At 46.7% G+C, this 21,384-nt stretch overlaps 1 long non-coding RNA gene and 3 pseudogenes across 1 annotated transcript; 3 read left to right on the top strand and 1 right to left on the bottom strand.

Moving 5' to 3' along the window:
• RNU7-179P (RNA, U7 small nuclear 179 pseudogene) lies at positions 361-428 on the top strand (annotated as a pseudogene).
• On the top strand, positions 700-743 carry LOC124904764 (uncharacterized; annotated as a pseudogene).
• Positions 3,192-3,978, bottom strand: CHCHD2P6 (coiled-coil-helix-coiled-coil-helix domain containing 2 pseudogene 6; annotated as a pseudogene).
• LOC124903854 (uncharacterized) lies at positions 4,963-20,284 on the top strand. The gene is made up of 3 exons (XR_007065483.1): positions 4,963-5,417; positions 12,522-12,656; positions 20,064-20,284. It is a non-coding gene; the product is annotated as an uncharacterized LOC124903854 (long non-coding RNA).
• Positions 20,285-21,384: the final 1,100 nt, after the last annotated feature.

Below are 21,384 nucleotides of genomic sequence, written 5' to 3'. Positions count from 1 at the left end.
ACTTGGGAGGCTGAAGCAGGAGAATTGCTTGAACCTGGGAGGTGGAGTTTGCAGTGAGCCGAGCTTGCACCACTGCACTCCAGCCTGGGAAACAGAGCAAGACCCTGTCTTAAAAAACAGATAAACAAGCAAACAAACTTAGACAAAGAGTTACCAAATGATCCAGAAATTCTACCCCCCAAAATATACCCAAGAAAATAAAAATATATATCCACGCAAAAACTTGTACATAAATGTTCATAGCAGCATTAGTCGTAATAGCCAAAAGTAGAAACAAGTATCCATCAACTGATGAATGGATAAATAAAATGTGGTATATCCATATAAAAGAATATTATTTGGCAACCGAAAAAGAAGTATTAGTGCTACAGTTCTTTTAGAATTTGTCTAGCAGGGCCAGGCGCGGTGGCTCACGCCTGTAATCCCAGCACTTTGGGAGGCCGAGGCGGGTTGATCACGAGGTCAGGAGTTCAAGACCACCCTGGCCAAGATGGTGAAACCCCATCTCCACTAAAAATACAAAAAATTAGCCGGGTGCAGTGGCAGGTGCCTGTAATCCCAACTACTCAGGAGGCTGAGGCAGGAGAATCATTTGAACTCGGTGGGCAGAGGTTGCAGTGAGCCAAGATCGTGCCACTGCACTTCAGCCTGGGTGACAGAGTGAGACTCCATCTCAAAAAAAAAAAAAAAAAAAAAAAAAGAATTTGTTTAGCAGGTTTTCTGGTCTTCACTGGAAAGCCCCTTTAAAAAAATTAAAATAAAAGTATTGATATATACTATCACATAGATTAACCATGAAAATGTTATGCTAAGTTAAAGGAGCCAGTAACAAGAGATATATACTGTATGAGTCCAATTATATGAAATATCCAGAAAAGGCAGTCCATAAGAGACAAAGTTTATTTTATTTATTTATTTATTTTTGAGGAAAAAAAATAAAACCTGCCACCACGCCCAGGTAATTTTTTTTTTTTTTTTTTTTTTTTTTGCGATGGAGTCTTGCTCTGTTGCCCAGGCTGGAGTGCAGTGGCGTGATCTCGGCTCACTGCAAGCTCCGCCTCCCGGGTTCACGCCATTCTCCTGCCTCAGCCTCCCGATTAGCTGGGACTACTGGTGCCCACCACTGCGCCTGACTAATTTTTTGTATTTTTAGTAGAGAAGGGGTTTCACCATGTTGGCCAGGTTGGTCTCAAACTCCTGACCTCAGATGATCCACCTGCTTCAGCCTCCCAAAGTGCTGGGATTACAGGTGTGAGCCACCGCACCTGGCAGACAAAGTTTATTAGTGGTTGCCTAGGGCTTGTGGAGAATCGGGGGATGGCAGTATATGGGAAGTGACTGCTAATGGGTATAGAATATCTTTTTGGAGTAATGAAAATGTTCTAAAATTGATTTGTGGTGTTTGTTATACACACCTGTGAATATACCAAAAACCACTGAATTGTACATTTTATTTATTTTTTGAGACAGAGTCTTGCTCTGTTGCCCAGGCTAGAGTGCAGTGGCGCGATCTCGGCTCACTGCAACCTCCGCCTCCTGGGTTCAAGTGATTCTCTTGCCTCAGCCTCCCTAGTAGCTGGGATTACAGGCATGTGCCACCATGCCCGGCTTCTTTTGTATTTTTTAGTAGAGAGAGGGTTTCTCCATGTTGGTTCGGCTGGTCTTGAACTCCCAACCCCAGGTGATCCACCCACCTTGGCCTCCCAGAGTGCTGGGTTTACAGGCGTGAGCCACTGCGCCCGGCTGAATTGTACATTTTAAATGGGTGATTTTGTGATATGTGATTTAATCTCAATAAAGTTGTTAAAAATTAGTTTTGAAAAGTTCACACTGGCTGTTGAGAATGGGTTGTACCGGGCAAAAGGAGAAACACAAAAATGTTAATGGGGCTAGAAAGGTGGTGACAAAAGAGAGAGAAGCAGGTGAATTAGAGAGATACTTTGAAAAGTCAACAGGACTTGCCAATGGGTTGGACCTGGAGAATGAGGGAGAGGGAGGAATGACTTCTGAGTTGAGGGAAAGTAAACCCAAGAAATGATACACGATCAATAAATCCCAGTATCCAAGAAGTACTCTGTGTTGTACTAGGATTCAGATCCAAGATTCAACTCCTTGGAATGGGTTAGGGTTGGATTTAGGATATTTTACAACACCCTCCCACCTAGATCCAACAAGCTTTTGTGGCAGACCCGCCTGCTCACAGTTCTGCTCACTGAACTCTCCCCACCACCCCCTGCCTCTCTTAAGAGAATCACTTCTGTAGCAGAGTTCCCACAGCTCTGCCCCTCAGCTGCTTTCCTCTTGGGCCTCACCCCTTTTGGACTCTGCTCAATAGCGTCTTGGGATCTGGCTCAGAGTGTAGACTCCTACTTTTCTCATCACTCTATGAGACACACTTTGAACCTCCATTACCTGTGACCATAAATGGCTAGAGATATTTCCAGTCCTTAATTTTAAGTCAGGATGGGGTGGAGTGGAGGTTGAGAGCAGGGAGAGCTCAGAAACCAGAATCCTGCTCTAGACCAGCAGTGCTACCAAGAAGAATAGGTCCCATTTATCGATCAACGCTGTGCGTCAAGCACCTTCCAAATGATTGCTAACATTTCCAAATATTGACTTTGTGCCGGACACTCTTCTAAGCACTTTATGTGTATTGAGTCACTTAATTCTCACAGAAATCCTAGGAGGTATTATCTTCATTTTACAGATGAAACTGAAGGATAGAGGAGGGACAGTCTCTTGTCTAAGGATACACAAGCAGTACATGACGGCACAAGGATTCAAAGCAGGTAATCTGACTCAAGCTCAGTCCTCACCACCAGTTTATATTGCTACATGTAAGACCTCATTTCATCCTTCTAGAAGTCCTCAGAGACAGGAACTGTGAGTAATCATTCCCATTTCATGGATAAAGAAACTGAGGCATGGGGATTTTAATTAATGTACCCGAGTTCACATAGCTAGTAAACGGCAGACTCTCCAAATTGGAAGACAGTTGTGGAGTGAAAATATTTATTATTTTTTTTTTTGAGACGGAGTCTCATCCTGTTGCCCAGGCTGGAGTGCAGTGGCACACCTCGGCTCACTGCAACCTCTGCCTCCCAGGTTCAAGCGATTCTCCTGCCTCGGACTCCCTAGTAGCTGGGATTAAAGGCGTGCACCACCATGCCTGGCTATTTTTTTTTTCTTTTTTGGAAGAAAATGACTTTATTCTAATTAACTCACAAAGAATAAAATCATAACAGCTAGTTTAAGGAGGCCACACAAACATTTGCCCAGTCCCAGATTCTACAGAGTAGGAACACCCTCCCTTCCATTTCAATTCTGAAGCAAGGAAGCTAGGAATGACAGGAGAAGTTTAACTGATGCTTACACTTTATACCCTCACTACCAATTCTATTTTTATACTAAATTAATTAGTATGAGAGCTGATTTTCCATCTCTCCAGGTTGAACTTCTTGATTAGGCCAATCCGTTTGCAAGTCGGCACTGTTTCAGCACCTCATTGAAACCCTCACAGAGCTTGATGTCACCCTGGTTCTCGGCACACTCCAGAAACTGTTTGATCTCACAGAAGCAAGGCTGCTGCTGCTGTGCCGGCTGGGTTCCCTGAGGCTCCTGGTAAGTGATGTCAGGCCTCGCAGGCTCAGCATTACTTCCTCCACTGAAGCCCCCAGTAATGGCATGACCCAGTATGTGCCCCACAGCAGAGCCCACAGCCACGCCAGCTGCAGTGGTTGCCATCTGGGCCATCAGACCTGGCTGCCGGGGCGCAGCAGCAGAAGAGCCAACTGTAGATGGCGGTGCCGCTGCTGGTGGCTGAGCGACTGGTGCTGGCCTGGGTGCAGCTCTCATCTGAGGGGCCCGGCTGGCCGGAGGGGCCATGCGGGAGGTGTGGCTTCGGCTTCCAGGTATCCTAGGTACGCGACGGCTCGGCCTCCGGACGTGTGACAACCAGCGAAGAGCTAAGTGACTTCTTCCGCCTGGCTAATTTTTGTATCTTTAATAGAGACGGGTTTCACCATGTTGGCCAGGCTGGTCTCGAACCCTGACCTCAGGTGATCCGCCTGGCTCAGCCTTTCAAAGTCCTGGGATTACAGGCATGAGCCACCAGGCCGAAAACATTTATTTCTAACCTTTAGAGCACAAACTCTCTGTCTATACTAATTACATGGGGAGTCACCTTGCTGCGCTCCAAAACGCTCAGTTTCATCACCACATGGTCACCAGCAAAGTTTCGTTTCTTTTAAGTGGCGTGATCTCAGCTCACTGCAACCTCTGCCTCCTGGGTTCAAGCGATTGTCCTGCCTCAGCCTCCAGAGTAGCTGGGATTACAGATGCGCGCCACCACACACGGCTAATTTTTGTACTTTCAGTAGAGATGGGGTTTCGCCTAGTTGGCCAAGCTGGTCTCGAACTCCTGACCTCAAGTGATCCCAAAGCGCTGAGATTACAGGCATGAGCGACCACACGCCCGACCTTCACCCATTATTTGTCAGGAAATTTCTGGCCAGCCTAACATTAGCAGGTGTTGACGTAACTAAAAGCTTCTGTCTTACTTTGAGGAAATGCTCTTGCACAACTGAACTAGCCTCATTGACACAATTCTGCACCGTTTCACTGCTTCACCATAGCCAGCCCAGACAAGTCTCAAGCGCCGGTTTCCTTTCTTTGGTCGCACCAGCCAAAGCCAGGACTTTGTAAAAGGATACGGCGCAAACCCCAGGAATGCCTCGCCTATGCGCTCAGAGCCACAACTGCCTTCGCGAAAAGCTCTGCCAAAGGGCGGTTGCGCCGCATCACGTGCCTGCGGCGTAATCTCCCACTGGGCAGCGGCGCTGGCTCACGTGACACGTGCAGGCCAATGCCTGGCGTCCGCGCATTTGGCTCCTGGTTGCTAGGCGACGCCAACCCGATTCTGGTTGCTGGAGTTTATCCTCCCGAGGTTGCTGTGCGAGTTTCGGACTCAGCTCAAGCGCTTGGATCCCTACAGCACCTGCGAGGGCTTCTCCTGGCTGCCGCTTTCGTTCTGGCGAATGTTCGGGGTGGCAGCCCCCCTTCGAGGCTTGCACGAGGGCGTCCCGGCATCCGCGATCAAGCGGGCCCTGCTGCTTTTGGGGCTGACCCTGCGGCTGGGGTGCTGCGGCGTCGCTCTGGCTATGCCCGGTCCACTCACGGACTCCCTGCTTTGGCCTGCTCAGCTCAGGAGAACCGGGCCCGACTCCATTTCGGGCAGTGGTGGACAGGGAAACTAGTGCCTGCCTGTAGTGGTCCCAGGCATAGAGCTTCCTGCAGCTACCCTGTGGCTTAGTTCACGTTTTGTTGCTTTGACCACCGATGAGAAATGTGCAGTAGGGACCCTGTAGGAGTCTGCTTACCCGAAATGGTTTCTGTCTTGAATAGTTGTTGAGTGAAAGGTAACGTGTTTCGATTAAATATATATGTGTGTGTGTGTGTGTATTCCCAGAAGTGAAAAGACTTAAATATTCTTTTTTTTTTTTTTTTGAAATGGAGTCTCGCTCTGTCGCCCAGGTTGGAGTGCAGTGGCGCGGTCTCGGCTCACTGCAACCTCTGCCTCCCGGGTTCTCTGCCTCAGTCTCCCAGTAGCTGGGATTACAGGCGCCCACCACCACGCCTAGCTAATTTTTTTTTTTTTTTTTTTTTTTTTTTTTTTTTTTTAGTAGAGACGGGGTTTCACCATCTTGGCCAGGCTAGTCTTGAACTCCTGACCTCGTGATCCACCCACCTCGGCCTCCCAAAGTGCTGGAATTACAGGTGTGAGCCACTGCGCCTGGCCTAGGATTTTCAATCTAGAAACGGTCGTGGAGTGTCTGGGACTTGTATGTAGCTCGCTGTTTACTAGAGGGTTTGGTATTTCACGTGTATTTAATTTATATTTGGATTGGATTTTACTTACTTTTCTAATCAGCCTGTGAACTAAAGTGAACAAACAGGTTTCAGTGCCCTTTGTTTTCAGACATAAGGAAACATGACCGGAGAAATTATAGTCATGCATTGTTTAACAGAGATATGAGAAATGCATCTTAGGTGAATCTATCATTGGAATATCATAGAGTTTTTTTGTTTGTTTGTTTTGTTTTTGAGACAGGGTCTTGCTGTGTCGCTCAGGCTGCAGTGCAGTGGTGCCATGACAGCTCGCTGCAACCTCGATCTGCTGTGATACTTCTGCCTCAGCCTCCTGAGTAGCTGGGACTGCAGGCCTGCATCACCATGCCAGACTAATTTTTTAAAATTAAATTATATATTTTTGTATATTTTAATTTTCTTTTTATAGAGAAAGGGTCTTGCTATGTTTCTCAGGCTGGTCTCGAACTCCTGGTCTCAAGCAATCCACCTGCCTCAGCCCCCCAAAGTGCTGGGATTACAGGCCTGAGCTACCATGTCTAGACCACAGCCGGCTAATTTTAATTTTTTTTGTATAGACAGGGTTTCTCCCTCTGTTGCCCAGTCTGGTCTCCAACTTCTGGGCTCAAGCAGTCTTCCTGCCTTGACCTTCTAAAGTGTTGGAATTACAGGCATGAGCCACTGAGTCCTGCCCATAGAGTGTACTTACGCAAACCTAGATAGTATAGCCTACTGCACACCTAGGCTATATGATACAGCCTACTGCTCCTACGCTACAAATCTCTACAGCATGTTACTGTACTGTATACTGTAGGCAATTGTAACACAATGGTTGGTATTTTTGTATCTAAACATAGAAAGGGTACACTAAAAATGGTACAATAAAAATACAATATTGTAATCTGATGGAACCACTGTCTTATATGCAGTCTGTTGTTGACTAAAGATCATGTGACATGTGACTGTATTTGCTCAATGTATTGCATGGAGAGGGCCAGTGCTTCTCAAATGTGTGTAGTAACCACTTAGCAATCTTTTGTTTTTTTAAGACGGAGTCTCACTCTGTCACCCACGCTGGAGTGCAGTGGTGCGATCTTGGCTCACTGCAACCTCTGCCCCCCGGGTTCAAGCAATTCTCCTGCCTCAGCCTCCTGAGTAGCTGGGATTTCAGGCGCACACCACCACGCCCGGCTAATTTTTGTATTTTTAGTAGAGACGGGGTTTCACCACCTTGGCCAGGCTGGTCTTGAACTCCTGACCTCGTGATCCACCCCCCTCGGCCTCCCATAGTGCTGGGATTACAGGCGTGAGCCACCGCGCCCGGCCAGGAACCTTGTTAAACTGTATATTCTGATTCATTAGGTCTGGAGCAGGTCCTGAGAATTTCTGCAGTTCTGACAAGCTCCCAGGTGTATATGATTCTGCTGGTGTGATGCACGCCTCAAATAGCAGTAGCCCTAAGTGACACGGTTAATAGCACAATTGCCTCCTTTCCATATCTGATTCTTATGCCCAAACAACAATTTCTTAATATTTATGAAATTTCAGTTACATATGAAGAGAAAGTCATAGGATGGAAATGACAAATAGCGTTGCCAAGATAGAATTTTTATTAAGGATTCATTTTGCTTATTTTATTACTTGAAAATCTGAGAATTCACAATATTGGAAATAATGGGCTTAAAAATATCAAGCTGGCTGGGTGTGGTAGCTCGAGCCTGTAATCCCAGCACTTGGGAGGCCGAGGCGGGGGGATCACCTGAGGTCAGCAGTTTGAGACCAGCCTGGCCAACATGGTGAAACCCCATCTCTACTAAAAATACAAAAATTAGCCAGGCATGGTGGTGGGCGCCTGTAATCCCAACTTCTCGGGAGGCTGAGGCAGGAGAATTGCTTGAACCCACGAGGCGGGGTTTGCAGTGAGCCAAGATGGCACCACTGCACTCCAGCTTGGGCCACAAGAGCAAAACTCCATCTCGAAAAAAAAAAAAGTATCCAGCGACACGGTAGCTCACGCCTGTAATCCCAGCACTTTGGCTGGTCAAGGCAGGTGGATCACGAGGTCAGGAGTTCAAGAACAGCCTGGCCAAGATGGTGAAACCCCATCTCTAATAAAAACGACAAAAATTAGCTGGGCACAGTGGCAGGCACCTGTAATCCTAGCTACTCGGGAGGCTGAGGCAGGAGAATCGCATGAACCTGGGCGGCAGATGTTGCAGTGAGCCGAGATTGCGCCACTGAACTCCAGCCTGGGCGACAGAGAGACTCCATCTCAAAAGAAAAAAAAAAAGTATTAAGCTTTTTGTTGTTAGAAAGTCTTTAACTGCTGGGCGTTGTGGCTCACGCCGGTAATCCCAGCACTTTGGGAGGCCAAGGCAGGCGAATCACCTGAGGTCGGAAGTTCAAGACCAGCCTGACCAACATGGAGAAACCCCATCTCTACTAAAATTACAAAATGAGCTGGGCGTGGAGGCACATGCCTGTAATCCCAGCTACTCGGGAGGCTGAGGCAGGAGAATCACTTGAATCCCGGAGGTGGAGGTTGCAGTGAGCGGACATCATGCCACTGCACTCCAGCCTGGACAACAGAGTGAGACTGTGTCTCAAAAAAAAAAAAAAAAAAAAAAGATTTGTTAGGCAGGACCAGAGCAATGCCAACTCTAGGGCTAATTATTCCCCTGAGGCAAGACCTTCATAAGTACTCTTTCCAATGCCCCACACATTACGAGTTTTTCCAATCTGGATCATAGGAGTAGGCACTATTCCTTCTAATCCAGGGGTCCCAGTCTCCAGGCCGCGGACTAGTACCAGTTGGTGGTCTGTTAAGAGCCGGGCCGCATAGCAGGAGGTGAGTGGCAGGCGAGCGAGCATTACTGCCTGAGTTCTGTCTCCAGTCAGATCAGCAGCAGTATTCCATTCTCATAGCAGCACAAACCCTATTGTGAACTGTGCACGTGAGGGATCTAGGTTGCCCACTCCTTATGAGAATCTAACGAACGTCTGATGAACTGAGGTGGAAGAGTTTCATCCCGAAACTCCAAAAAGGTTAGGAATCGCTGTAGTAATCCTTTTACGTGGTTCTTTCCCCAGCCTTGTGTAGTTTTCTTACATATGTATCCTGAACAGTACTCTGCTGAATGCTAGAGGCGGGGACCTTTTACAGATCTCTGGGGTTCTGTCTGAACAACTCTCTTTCTCTGGTACTCTGTCCTTTCCATCTGGCTACCTTGGTCTCCCTGGACTCAGCTCTGTCTCCTCAGCTCCGGGATTCCACCAGGCCCTTCCTCACTTTGCTCTTCTTGCAGTAGAGCCTGGAAACCCTCAAGGCAGTAAGCTGGAGCAATAATAGGGCTCACTTCACTTGTACTTTTTTTTTTTTGAGACGGAGTCTGGCACTGTTGCCCAGGCTGGAGTGCAGTGGCGCGATCTCAGCTCACTGCCACCTCCACCTCCAGGGTTCAAGCGATTCTTCTGCCTCAGCCTCCCGAGTAGCTGGGACTACAGGCGTGTACCACCACACCCGGCTAATTTTTGTATTTTTAGTAGAGACGGGGTTTCACCATATTGGCCAGACTGGTCTCGGACTCCTGTCCTCGTGATCCGCCCGCCTCGGGCTCCGAAAGTGCTGGGATTACCGGCGTGAGCCACCGCGCCCAGCCATTTGTACTTTTTTCAGGGATTTCTGTCCTTTGTTGCGTGATATCCGGTGTCTTAAAGACCATTTGTTACATTTTGGGGATCCGTATTTTGGTTGTTTATGTGGGAAAGTAAATCTAGCCCCTGTTTATCTTCAGTTCTGGAAGTGGAAGTCCAAATATCACACCCACCTGGCACACTTTTACCACCCCAAACCATTGAATATGGAAACTGTTTTAAGTGAGGTTGTATACTATTGAACTCATATCCAATTACTTCCAGGGGAAGCTATTATCCTGTCTTGATATCCCTAACAGACTTAACCAATGCCTGGCACTTGGCTGACATTCACTAAAAGCTGGAGAGCATGAATAAACTATTTTTAGCAGACAGCTGTTGATCAGCTTATGGTGTTTTCTTCCAACATTTGTTGATGGGCTTTTGCAATTTTCTTTTTGCCTGCCGGCAGCAAAAGGAAGCCAGGCAAAATGGACATTTCTGGGACTTGTTACTCATGATTGTAATTATCCACAAAAACGCACCCTTTAAAAAGCTTTGATAGGCATGAAGGAACTTTTGGGGGTGATAGAAATGTTCTAAAACTGAGTTGTGATGGTTGCACAAGGGGACGAAAAATCATTAACTTGTACACTTAAAAATGGGTGAATTTTGTGGTATGTAAATTACACCTAAAAAAAAGCTTTTTTAAAAAGCTTATCTGAAAGATTTCCAGGCATTTTAAGGTGAAAAAAGGACACATTGCCAACAATTTGTACAGGAGAAACCTGTACTTTTTCCAAAGTCTCATATGAATTAAAGTACAACCTTGAGGCCAGGTGCCTGTAATCCCCACACTTTTTTCCCAGCACTTTTGGATGCTGAGGTGGGCAGATCACTTGAGGCCAGGAGTTCGAGACCAGCCTGGCCAACATGGCAAAACCCCTTCTCTACTAAAAATACAAAAATTAGCTGGCTGTGGTGGTGGGCACCTGTAATCCCAATTACTCAGAAGGCTGAGGCAGAAGAATTGCTTGAATCCAGGAGGCGGAGGGTTGCAGTGAGCCAAGATTGCACCACTGCCCTCCAGGCAGGGCAACACAGCAAGACTCCATCTCAAACAAAACAAAACAAAACAAAACAAACAAACAACCTTGAGCAGGAGTAGGAGCAGACTATGGTCAACTTATACTTTGTACAATACATATGTATTAGGTGTAATCAGGAAAATATTAAAGATTTTAAAAGAAAGACTAACACTGAGAAAAATCAAAGGGCAATTCCAAGAGAAAAGGGGCTTATTTGATCGAAAGGGAAGATTCCATTTCCTTCTCCACTGGCTCCTAATGTGGTGGTGGTGGGGCGTGGGGGTTCACACCAAAAAATTCTACAATTCTCTGCAGACCTTAGGAGGGTGTCTGTCAGTCTCTTGCTATAATGGAATGCCTGAGGCTGGGTAATTTATCAAAAAATGAAGTTAAGGGCTTGGCGCGGTGGCTCATGCCTATGGTCCCAGCACTTTGGGAGGCTAAGGCAGGTGGATCACCTGACATCAGGAGTTTGAGACCAGCCTGGCCAATATGGTGAAACCCCATCTCTACTAAAAATACAAAAATATTAGCTGGGTGTGGTGGTGGGCACCTGTAATCCCAGCTACTCGGGAGGCTGAGGCAGGAGAATTGCCTGAACCCGGAGGCAGAGGTTGCAGTGAGCTGAGATCGTGCCTCTGCACTCCAGCCTGGGGACAGAGTGAGACTCCATCCCAAAAAAAAACCAAACAAACAAAAAACGAACAAACAACAACAAAATGAAGTTAACTTGGCTAACAATTCTGCTGGCTGGAAGATGGAGAAGCTGGTGAAAGCTTCAGGCTGCTTCCACTCATGGCAAATGGTGAAATGGAGCCAGTGTGTGCAGAGATCTCGCAGCAAGAGAGAGAGAGACAGGGGAGGCGCCAGGCTATTTTTAGCAATCAGCTCTTGTGGGAGGGAAAAGAGTGAGAACTCACTGACCCCTTCCCCGCAACAAGGCATTGGTTATTCATGAGGGATCTACCCGCATGACCCACACCCTGCCATTAGGGGATAAACGCTCAGCATGAGATTTGTAGGGAATAAACATCCAAACTTTAGCAGTGTCCTATGATTTATCTCAATCCTGACACTATCTACCTGGAAATAGCATCAGATTCCCCAGGTTACAGGCTTAGTCCCTTAAGACTGCCCCCACTTCAGACACTGGGTGCCAGTCCCAGGTTGTCACCTGTACTTCTTGCAGACTCGCTATAAATTAGAAGTTCCCACCATTCCCTCCTCTCTGGGTTTGATCATCTGCTAGGACAGCTCACAGAACTCAGAACGGTCTACTAACCAGATTGCCATTTATTATGAAAGAATATAACAGGAACAGCCAGTGGAAGAGCTGCATAGGGCAAGGAACATGGGAAGGGATCTGGAGCTTCCATGCCCTCCTCAGGCACGCCACCCTCCCCGCAGCTCCGTATGTTCACCAACCTGGAAGCTCCTTGAACCCCATTCTATCAAGATTTGATGAAGGTTTCATTACATAAGCATGAGTAACGAAATGATTGATCATTGAGCTTTTTTTTTTTTTTTTTTTAGAGACCCAGTCTCTAAAAAAAAAAGAAGAGAACAAATACTTTATCAAACCATTTATGTTATACTATAGGAAATGTATCATACATGCTTTATTTGTATGAGATGTCTATATCTGCACTTCAAGCATTAATTCTTACCTTCCAAAAGTGCTTAATAATGTTTTTCTGGGTTTAATTGCCTAGCACAAGTTGGCTTATATTTGGATTTGTCTAAACAGCATTTTTCTACATGTCCTTGACCTTTGTGCACTTTAGAACCTTGGTTTTAAGCTACAGTCCTGTTAATCATCAATTATCAAGTATTCATTCTTACTAATAACTTGAGTCAGATCTATGTACCCAGAGCATATAGTTCATAATTAATAATTAGCTCTTGCATTTGTCTAATGCTTCCTTCCTCTCTAAGGACCAGGTTGATGGTGAACATCATCACTGGAAAGTCAGGAAAGGTTATAGTCCCTACTTTGCAGAGGAAGAAGGACTACTCAGAAGCAGCTGACCTCCTTGGGCAAAGCGAAATGCCATCTAAAAGAATGCATAGGTGACTGGCTGGGGCTTGAAAGAAATCTGAATATTTTCTTCAATAAAAAATTAAATGAGGGCCGGGGGCGGTGGCTCATGCCTGTAATCTCAGCACTTTGGGAGGTCGAGGCGGGTGGATCACGAGGTCAGCAGTTCGAGACCAACCTGACCAACATGTGAAACCCCGTCTCTACTAAAAATACAAAAATTAGCCAGGCATGATCGCGGATGCCTGTAATCCCAGCTACTCAGGAGGCTGAGGCAGGAGAATCGCTTGAACCTGGGAGGCAGAGGTTGCAGTGAGCTGAGATTGCACCACTGCACTCCAGCCTGAGTGACAGAGTGATACTCCGTCTCAAAAAAAAAAAAAATTAAATGGTACACAGATGACATTATGATACCCATTGTATAATAAAACTGTTGAGATTTCAGGATGAAATTACATTGACTAAATTTTTTTCCAGTGATTTAGGAGGTGACATAAACTGTGTCACCTGACTAATTGAAGGAGAACTCTGTCCATTTCCTGAATTATCTTTTTTCCTTTGTTAGATCATCAAGTAGAAGTTTTCTGTGCCCTCTCCTGGCTTGATTCTGAAACTGCATAACATTCAGCCTCACTGGGTGGGTCTCTGAGATAAATTCATGCTCTCCCCTTCCTCTCTCCTGCCCATAGGAGGCTTATTTTATTTTATTTTATATTTTATTTTATTTTATTATTTTTTGAGATGGAGCCTCACTCTGTTGCCCAGGCTGGAGTGCAGTGGCACCATCTCGGCTCACTGCAACGTCTGCCTCCCTGGTTCAAGCCATTCTTGTGCCTCAGCCTCTCCAGTAGCTGGGATTACAGGCATGTACCACCACGCCCAGCTAATTTTTTTTTTTTTTTTTTTTAAGTAAAGACGGGTTTCGCCATGTTGACCAGGATGGTCTCAAACTCCTGGCCTCAAGAGATCTGCCTGTCTTGGCCTCCCAAAGTGCTGGGATTACAGGTGCACACCACCCCACTGGGCTAATTTTTCTATTTTTAGTATTGATGGGGGTTTCACCATGTTGGCCAGACTGGTCTCGAACTCCTGACCTTAAATGATCCACCCGCCTTGGCCTTCAAAGTGCTGGGATTACAGGCGTGAGCCACTGTGCCTGGCTTTTTTTTTTTTTTTTTTTTGAGAGGGAGTCTCACCCTGTCACCCAGCTAGAGTGCAGTGGCGAAATGTTGGCTCACTGCAACTTCCACCTCCTAGGTTCAAGCAATTCTCCTGCCTCAGCCCCCCAAATAGCTGGGACTACAGGCATGCACCACCACACCCAGCTAATTTTTTGTATTTTTAGTAGAGGCAGGGTTTCACCATGTTGGCCATGCTGGTCTCAAACTCCTGACCTCAAAGGATTGGCCCAACTCGGCCTCCCAAAGTGCTGGGATTACAGGCTTGAGCCACCGTGCCCAGCTGATAAGTGTGTAACTTTATAGGCAAAGTGAATAGAATACTGGGGATTTTGACAAGCTTTAATGTCACAAAGATTTTTTTTTTTTTTTTGAGTTAGAGTCTCGATCTGTTGGCCAGGCTGGAGTGCAGTGGTGTGACCTCAGCTCGCTGCAACCTCCACCTCCCAGGTTCAAGCAATTCTCCTGCCTCAGCCTCCGGAGTAGCTGGGATTACAGGCGCCTACCGCCATGCCCAGCTAATTTTTGTATTTTTAGTAGAGACAGTGTTTCACCATGTTGGCCAGGCTGGTCTCGAGCTCCTGACCTCAAGTGATCCACCCGCCTCAGCCTCCCAAAGTGCTCAGACTACAGGCGTGAGCCACCGTGCCAGGCCACAAAGATTCTTTGCTTGGCCAAACTTTAGCACCCCACCTGGCTTTTTGGCTATAAATTCCCACTTGCCATGCCGTTGTAAACCAAATAATGTCTGAGACAGGTCTCAGACAAGTTTATTTTGCCAAGGTTGAGGATGTGTCTGGGAAAGACACAAGCTACAGTGGTATCTGTGGCCTGCGCTCTTTCCCAAGAGGATTTTGAGAACTTCAGTATTTAAACGGGAAAATTGGGCAGGAGGGGAAAGAGGACAGTCAATTGTTCATAAAATTATTCAGAAAATCCACATTTTACATTAAATAACCTAAACATAGAGTAGAGGAAGAAGTCAAATATGCGTTTGTCTCCAGGTTGGCGGAGGTGGGGGTCGGGGGAATGATCCCCAGTCTTATCTTTGTCCCTTACTTGTGAAAATAAGCTGTTAATTTACATTGTCAGGATGAGGGAGGTCACCTGGGGAGATATGTGGCCTCTGTCTTGCAGCTACCTGTTTAGGAACCAAAAAAAGTGCAATGTTTTACATACTCAGTTCCCAAGCTTAACTTTTTCCTTTGGCATAGTGAGTCTGGGGTCCCGGGATTTTCTTTTCCTTTCACACTATATTGGGTTGAGAGTCCAGTCGCTCTCCTCAACTACAAGATTCCATTGCAGTGGTCACTATACCTATCTCAAGGGTCCTGAATATTTTTCCTTACCATGCTTTAACAAGGATCATTAGATACTTTTATCTTTTTTTTTTTTTTGTCAGGGTCTCGATTTGTTGTTCAGGCTGCAGTGCAGTGGTGCAAACACAGCTCACTGCAGTCTCCACCTCCTGGGATCCAGCAATCCTCCTACCTCAGCCTCCTGAGTAGCTGGACTATAGGTGTGCGCCACTGTGCCCAGCTAATTAAAAAAAAATATATTTTTTTTTTAGAGACAGGGTCTCACTATGTTGCCCAGGCTAATTTTTTTCTTTTTCTTATTCTTTTTCTTTTCTTTTTTTTTTTTTGAGACAGAGTCTTACCCTGTCACCCAGGCTGGAGTACAGTGGCGCCATCTTAGCTCACGGCAACTTCCGCCTCCTGGATTCAAGCAATTCTCCTGCCTCAGCCTCCTGAGTAGCTGGGAGTAATTACATGCACACGCCACCACACCTGGCTAATTTTTATATTTTTAGTAGAGGCAGAGTTTCTCCATGTTGGCCAGGCTGGTCTCCAACTCCTGACCTCAGATGATCTGCCCACCTCGGCCTCCCAAAGTGCTGGGATTACAGGCGTGAGCCACCGCGCCCGGCCAGGAAATTTTTTCCTTTAACAGATGAAAGCATTCTGAACATGCTAAACAATATATTTTTATTTAGGGCTAGGGGACAAAGAAGGTGAAGATGAGTGTTGAGGTTGTAGCAAGGCGAATGAGTGTCACAGAAAGCCCCCAGCCAGGCAGCCTGGGGAGGCTGGAGTTGCGGCAGGATCATTTCTGAGCTTCCGCAAGCACAGACAAGTTCAGCGTTGACACCTTCTGCAGAGCCCTTACCTCACCATTCAGCAGGCCAAATGGAATCAATCCATGCAGACAGCTGAAATGCACACGGTGTTTTCCCCACACTCAGGCTGTCAGTTTTGTTGACTGAGATACTCATCACCCCAGAGCTGCTTTTCACAGTTCTAGAAGATCTGTTCAATCATTCATTCACTCACAAAACATTTATTCCTTGTGTTTTACAAGGTACTGCCCTTGGAGGACACCCAAAAGGTTGAAGTAGATATTGGAAATTATAGTTTACTAGATGGGTACTTCTCAACCTTCTTCCTGTCATGGCATACATAGAAAATGATACAATTTATATCTCTCACTGAAGTTAACTGGGGGGAGTTTGGATCCCTATCAGATTTGGTGAAAAAAATTGATGTTTTCTACATATTGTATAATTATGATTTGGAAAAAAATCAAATTATTAGGGAAAGCATTAAATATTGAGCTAATATAATACAAAAATTAATACAAATAAATACAAATAAATAATAAATACAAAAATTAGCCAGGCATGGTGGCGCATGCTTATAGTCCCAGCTACTCAGGAGGCTGAGGCAGGAGAATCACTTTAACTCGGGAGGCGGAGGTAGAAGTGAGCCAAGATCGCACCACTGACCTCCAGCCTGGGCGACAGAGCAAGACTGTATCAAACAAAAAAAAAAAAAAAAAAGAGATGGCGTCTCACATCTCGCTGTGTTGACCAGGCTGGTCTTGCACTCCTGGGTTCAAACAGGTCCTCCCTCCTTGGTCTCCCAAAGTGCTGGGATTATAGTCATGAGTCACTGTACCTGGCCAAGTTTTAGCTTTTCTGTGAAGGTAGCTGTTTAATATCAGGTTTTGTTTTGTTTTGTTTTGTTTTTTTGAGACAGAGTCTTGCTCTGTCACCCAGGCTGCAGTGCAGTGGCGCGATGTCAGCTCACTGCAACTTCTGCCTCCGGAGTTCAAGCGATTCTCCTGCCTTAGCCTCCCGAGTAGCTGGGATTACAGGTGTGTGCCACTGCACCTGGCTAAATTTTTTTTTTTTTTTTGAGACAGAGTTTTACTCTTGTTGCCCAGGCTGGAGTGCAATAGTGCAATCTCAGTTCACTGCAACCTCCACTTCCCAGGTTCAAGCGATTCTCCTGCCTCAGCCTCCCTAGTAGCTGGGATTACAGGCATGTGCCACCACGCCCAGCTAATTTTGTATTTTTGGTAGAGACAGGATTTCTCCATGTTGGTCAGACTGGTCTTGAACTCCTAACCTCAGGTAATCTGCCCGCCTTGGCCTCCCAAAGTGCTAGGATTACAGGCATGAGCCACCGTGCCTGGCCAATTTTTTGTATTTTTAGTAGAGACGGGGTTTCACCATGTTAGCCAGGCTGGTCTTGAACTCCTAACCTCAGGTAATCTGCCTGCCTTGGCCTCCCAAAGTGCTAGGATTATAGGCGTGAGCCACCGTGCCTGGACCAATATCAAGTTTTATGCTTGATATTTGCGTATTTGCTACATGGAATAATAATCAGAACTTTTAAAGAATGATCTCTTCAAATTCTTGATACCCTTGAGCTCAAGGAGGTAATACAAATCCTAAAATAAATGTTAAATTCAAAAATTTACAGAAGTTGAAATTGTCTTTTCTTTCATTAACAAATGTACAATTGAAATTTCTTGTGATAACATGAATGGATTTTTATTTTTTATTTTATTTAATTTTTTTTTTGAGACAGAGTCTCACTCTGTCACCCAGGCTGGAGTGCAGTGGTGCGATCTCGTCTCACTACAACCTCCACCTCCTGGGTTCAAGTGATTCTCCTGCCTCAGCCTCCTGAGTAGGTGGGATTACAGGCGTGCACCACCATGCCCGGCTAATTTTTGTATTTTTAGCAGAGACAGCATTTCACCATGTTGGTAAGGTTGGTCTCAAACTCCTGACCTTGTGATCCGCCTGCCTTGGCCTCACAAAGTGCTGGGATTACAGGTGTGAGCCACCGCACCTGGCCAGATTTTTATTTATTTATTTTTATTTTTATTTTTTTGAGTCGGAGTCTCGCTCTGTCACCCAGGCTGGAGTGCAATGGTGCAATCTTGGCTCACTGCAATCTCCGCCTCCCGGGTTCAAACAATTCTTCTGCCTCAGCCTCCTGAGTAGCTGGGATTACAGGTGCCTGCCACCACGCCCAGCTAATTTTTGTATTTTTAGTAGAGATGGGGTTTCACCATATTGGCCAGACTAGTCTCTTGGTCAGGCTGGTCTCGAACTCCTGACCTCGTGATCTGCCTGCCTTGGGCCTCCCAAAGTGCTGGGATTACAGGCGTGAGCCACCACGCCTGGCCCAATCTGGATTTTTATTTATTTATTTAGAGACAGATTTTCACTCTGTTACCCAGGTTGGAGTGCAGTGGTGCGATCATGGCTCACTGCAGCATCTCTCTACCTCCTGGGCTCAAGCAATCCTCCCACCTCAGTCTCCTGAGTAGCTAGGACAAGAGGCATGCATCACCATGCCCAGCTAACTTTTTTTTAGATTTTTTCGTAGAGATAAGTTCTCACTATGTTGCCCAGGTTGGTCTCAAACTCCTGGTCTCAAGCAATCCTGCCATCTTGGCCTCCCAAAGTGCTAGGATTATAGGCATGAGCCACCACACCCAGCTAAACACATTTTTCTTTTTTTGAGACAGGGTTTCTCTCTGTCGCCCAGCTGCAGTACAGTGGCACTATCTCGGCTCACTGCAACCTCTGCCTCCCGGGTTCAAGTGATTCTCGTGCCTCAGCCTCTTGAGTAGCTGGGACTACAGGCGCCTGCCACCATGCCCCGGTAATTCTTGCATTTTTAGTAGAGATGGGGTTTTACCATCTTGGCCAGGCTGGTCTTGAACTCCTGACCTCAAGTGATCTGCCACCCTCGGCCTCCCAGAGTGCTGGGATTACAGGTGTGAGCCACCACACCTAGCTGAAAACATTTGATAGATTCTAATTCTGTAGTTTGGGATGGGGTCCAGGAATCTGAATTTTAACAGACACTCCAGGAAATCGATGTAAATGTTTCTCACAAACAATACTATGAAACCACTGACTGAAGCTAGCAGTTCTCAGATGTTTTCGCTTTTTTAAATCTCAAGACTCCTTTACACTATTACAATTATTGAGGCCAGGTGTGGTGGCTCACACCTGTAATCCTAACACTTTGGGAGGCCAAGGTGGGAGGATCCCTTGAGGAGTTCAAGACCAGCCTGGACAACATAGTGAGACCCTCATAATTACAAAAAAAATTTAAAAAATATTAGCCAGTTGAGGTGGCATGAGCCTGTGGTCCCAGCTACTCAGGAGGCTGAGGTGGGAGGATCAGTTGAGTCCTAGGATTCAAGGCTGCAGTGAGCCACGACAGTACCACTGCACTGCAGCCTGGGAGACAGAGCCAGACCCTGTCTCTCAAAAAAGTTAAAAAAAATTACTGAGGATCTCAGAAAGCTTTTGTTATGTGGGATATATCTGTTGATATATACAGGATTATAAATTAAAACAGGCACACACACAACAAAGAAAAAAAGGCTGAGCACAGTGGCTCATACTTGTATTCCCAACACTTTGAGAAGCTGAGGTAGCAGTATTGCTTGCATCCAGGAGTTTAAGACCAGCCTGGGAAACGTAGTGAGGCCCACCATCTCTTTTTTTGGTTTGTTTTTTTGAGACAGGGTCTCACTTTGTCTCCCAGGCTGGAACGAAGTGGTGCAATCACAGCTCACTGCAGCTTTACCTCCCTGGGCTCAGGTGATGCTCCCATCTCAGCCTTCTGAGTAGCTAGTGAGAGGTGAAGCCGGCTGGGCTTCTGGGTCAGGTGGGGACTTGGAGAACTTTTCTGTCTAGCTAAAGGATTGTAAATGCACCAATGAGCACTCTGTGTCTAGCTAAAGGTTTGTAAACGCACCAATCAGCACTCTGTCTAAACAGACCAATCAGCTTTCTGTAAAATGGACCAATCAGCAGGATGTGGGTGGGGCCAGATAAGGGAATAAAAGCAGGCTGCCGGAACCAGCGGCACCAAGCTGGTCGGGGAGTCTTCCAAATTGTGGAAACGTTGTTTGTAAACCTTGTTCTTCTGCTCTTTGCAATAGCTCTTGCTGCTGCTCACTCTTTGGGTCTGTGCCGCCTTCATGAGCTGTGACACTCACCGTGAAGTTTTGCAGCTTCGCTCCTAAAGCCAGCGAGACCACGAACCCACTGGGAGGGACAGCAACTCTGGACGCGCCACTTTTACGAACTGTAGCACTCACCGCAAAGGTCTGCAGCTTCACTCCTGAGGCCAGCGAGACCACGAACCCACCGTGAAGGAACGAACAACTCCAGACGCGCCGCCTTTAAGAGCTGTAACACTGCAAAGGTCTGCAGCTTCACTCCTGAAGTCAGCGTAGACCACGAACCTAGCAGAAGGAAGAAACTTCGGACACATCTGAACATCTGAAGGAACAAACTCCGGACACACTATCTTTAAGAACTGTAACACCGCGAGGGTCTGTGGCTTCATTCTTGAAGTCAGCGAGACAAAGAACCCACCAATTCGATACACTGGGACCACAGGTGTGCACCACCAGTCTTGGCTAACTTTTGTATTCTTTGTAGAGACAGGATTTCCCCATGTTGGCCAGGCTGGTCTCAAGCTCCTGGACTCAAGCCATGTGCCTGCCTTGGTCTCACAAAGTGCTAGGATTACGGGCATGAGGCACCGCACCCAGTGAGACCCTATTTCTACAAAAAATACAAAAATTAGCTGGGCATAGTTGTGTGCACCTGTAGTCCTAGCTACTTGGGAGGCTGAGGCAGAAGGATTGCTCAAGCCCAGGGGGTGGAGGCTGCAGTGAGCTATGACTGTACCACAGCACCACAGCCTTCATGACAGAGCGAGACTTCTATCTCCCTTAAAAAAAAAAAAAGTTCAGGGTCTTTTGAGGGTGGGCTTCTACTGAACATTGGACATGTGGAGCTGAGGGCTGGGGTGGAGCACTGCAGGCAGACAGAAAAGCATGAACAAAGGAAAGGAGGCAAGAAAGTGGGGGCTGAGGCAGCTGACCATGGGCTGGAGGAACAAGCCCGTGGAGCTGCAGAAGGGGAAACACAGGAAGAATTGGCTCCAGGAAGCATTACCGGGCAGGCATATGTATGGTGATACTAGTGAGAGTGAGATCAGCTGGAAAGCTGGGGTGGGAAGGCCTGGACCAGAGTAACAGCAGAGGAAATGAGCAGAAGGCTTGGGGGCAGGAAACCATCAGGACTTCTTAAATTTGGGGGCGTAGAGCAGGATCAGAGACAGGGAGGTGGAAAGTCGCTGGCTGAACTTGCAGCCCACCCCAGGTGCTGTCAAGCATCCAGGTCAGGGTTAGAAATTGGTCGCCTGGAGCTCAGGGCTGGGATTTGGGCTTGTGGTTGACCTGCCTATGG

The sequence above is a fragment of the Homo sapiens genome, chromosome 1 (genome assembly GCF_000001405.40).
Source record: "Homo sapiens chromosome 1, GRCh38.p14 Primary Assembly".
Taxonomy (NCBI): domain Eukaryota; kingdom Metazoa; phylum Chordata; class Mammalia; order Primates; family Hominidae; genus Homo; species Homo sapiens.
This window is presented reverse-complemented; position numbering and strand designations above follow the sequence as displayed.